The sequence below is a fragment of the Homo sapiens genome, chromosome 5, assembly GCF_000001405.40.
Source record: "Homo sapiens chromosome 5, GRCh38.p14 Primary Assembly".
In the NCBI taxonomy this organism is placed as follows: Eukaryota; Metazoa; Chordata; class Mammalia; order Primates; family Hominidae; genus Homo; species Homo sapiens.
Genome location: NC_000005.10, coordinates 155,349,654 through 155,351,906, shown reverse-complemented (window position 1 = coordinate 155,351,906; position 2,253 = coordinate 155,349,654).

Below are 2,253 nucleotides of genomic sequence, written 5' to 3'. Positions count from 1 at the left end.
CTTACCAAAGAAGTTATCCACATGGCCAATATGGTTTCTTATTGCTTGTTTTCTTATTGTTGAGTTTTAAGAGTTCTTTATATACTTTGGACAACAGTGCTTTAACAGATGTATCATTTGCAAATATTTTCTTCCCATCTGTGACTTGTCTTCTCATTCTCCTGACATTGTCTTTCACAAAGCAGAAGTTAATTTTAAATGAAGTCCAGCTTATTGCTGGTTTACTTTCATGAATTATGCCTTGGTTTTATATCTAAAAAGTCACCACCATACCCAAGATCACCTAGGTTTTCTCCTATGTTATCTTCTAGAAGTTTTGCATTTACATATAAGTCTGTGTTCCATTTTGAGGTAATTTTTGTAAAGGGTATATGGTCTTAACCTGGATTTATTTATTTATTTTTGCATGTAGATATCCAATTGTTCCAGCAACATTTATTGAAAAGTCTATCTTTGCTCCAGTATTGCCTTTGTGCCCTTGTCAGAGAAGAGTTGACTATATTCATGTGGGTCTATTTCTGGTCCATCTATTCTGTCCCATTGATCTATGTGCATATTCTTGGCTAATGTCACACTGTTATGATTGCTGCAACTTTATGGAAAGTGTTGAAGTCAGGGCTGGTCGCAGTGGCTCATGCTTGTAATCCCAGCACTTTGGGAGGCTGAGGCGGGCAGATAACTAGGTCAGGAGATCAAGACCATCCTGGCTAACTCAGTGAAACCGCATCTCTACTAAGAAATACAAAAAAATTAGCCGGGTGTGGTGGCAGGCACCTGTAGTCCCAGCTACTCGGGAGGCTGAGGCAAGAGAATGTCGTGAACCCAGGAGGCAGAGCTTGCAGTGAGCTGAGATAGCACCACTGCACTCCAGCCTGGGCGACAGAGCAAGACTCCATCTCAAAAAAAAAAAAAAAAAAAAAAATGAAAGAAAGCCTTGAAGTCAGAGACACTATCAGTCCTCCAACTTTGTTCTTTAATATTGTGGGTCTTTTGCCTCTCTATATAAACTTTAGATTCAGTTTGTCAATATTCACAAAGTAACATGCTTGATTTTGATTGGGATTGTGTTGAATCTATAGATCAAGTTGGCAAGAACTGACATCTTGACAATATTGTGTCTTCCCACCCATGAACATGAAATAGCTCTCCTTTCATTTAGTTCTTCTTTGATTTCTTTCCATAGAGTTTTGTAGTTTTTCTCAGGTAGATATTACACATAATTTGTTAGGTTTATACTGAAGTATTTATTTTTAAAGTGCTAATATAAATAGTATTGATTTTAATTTCAAATTCCACTTGTTCATTGCTGATATATAGAAAAGCAATTGTTTATTGTGTATTAATCTTTTATCCTGCAATATTGCTATAATCACGTATTAGTTCCAGGAGTGTTTTTTGTCAATTTTTTCCAGATTTTCTACATAGACAACCATGTCATCTATGAACAAAGACAGCTTTATTTTTCCTTTTCAATCTTATATCTTTTATTTCCTTTCCTTGTCTTATTACATTAGATAGGACTTCCAGTACAATGTTGAAAATAAGTGGTAAGTGGGGGTATCTTTGCCGTGTTCCTGATGGCAGTGGGAGAATTTCTAATTCCTCACCATTAAGTGTGATGTTAGCTGTAGGATTTTTGTAGATATTCTTTATCAAGTTGAGGAATTCCCCACTATTTCTAATTTACTGAGAATTATCTGTGTCATGAATGGGTTTTGTCAGATGTTTTTTCTGTATTTATTAATTGTGGAATTTTCCTTTTTTAGCCTGTTGATGTAATTGATTATATAAATTCATTTTTGAATGCTGAACAAGCCTTGCATATCTGGGAAAAAAATCCTACCTGATAATGGTGTATAATTCTTTTTACGCATTGTTATATCCAATTTGCTGATATTTCATTGAGGATTTTTGCACCTATGTTCATGAACTATTGGGTTTTAGTTTTCTTTCCTTATAATGATCTCATCTGGTTTTGGTGTTAGGGTAATGCTGGCATCATAGAATGAGTTAGGAAGCATTCCCTCTGCCTCTATATTCTAAAAGAGATTACAGAGATTTAGTGTAATTTCTTCTTTAAATGCTTGGTAGAATTCACCAGTGAATTCATCTGGGCCTGGTGTTTTCTGTTTTGGAAAGTTATTCATTACAATTCAATTTTTTAAATAGATAAGCCTATTCAAATTGTCTATTTCTTTTTGTGTGAGTTTTGGCAGACTGTGTCTTTCATAAAATTGTTCCATTTCTTCTAGG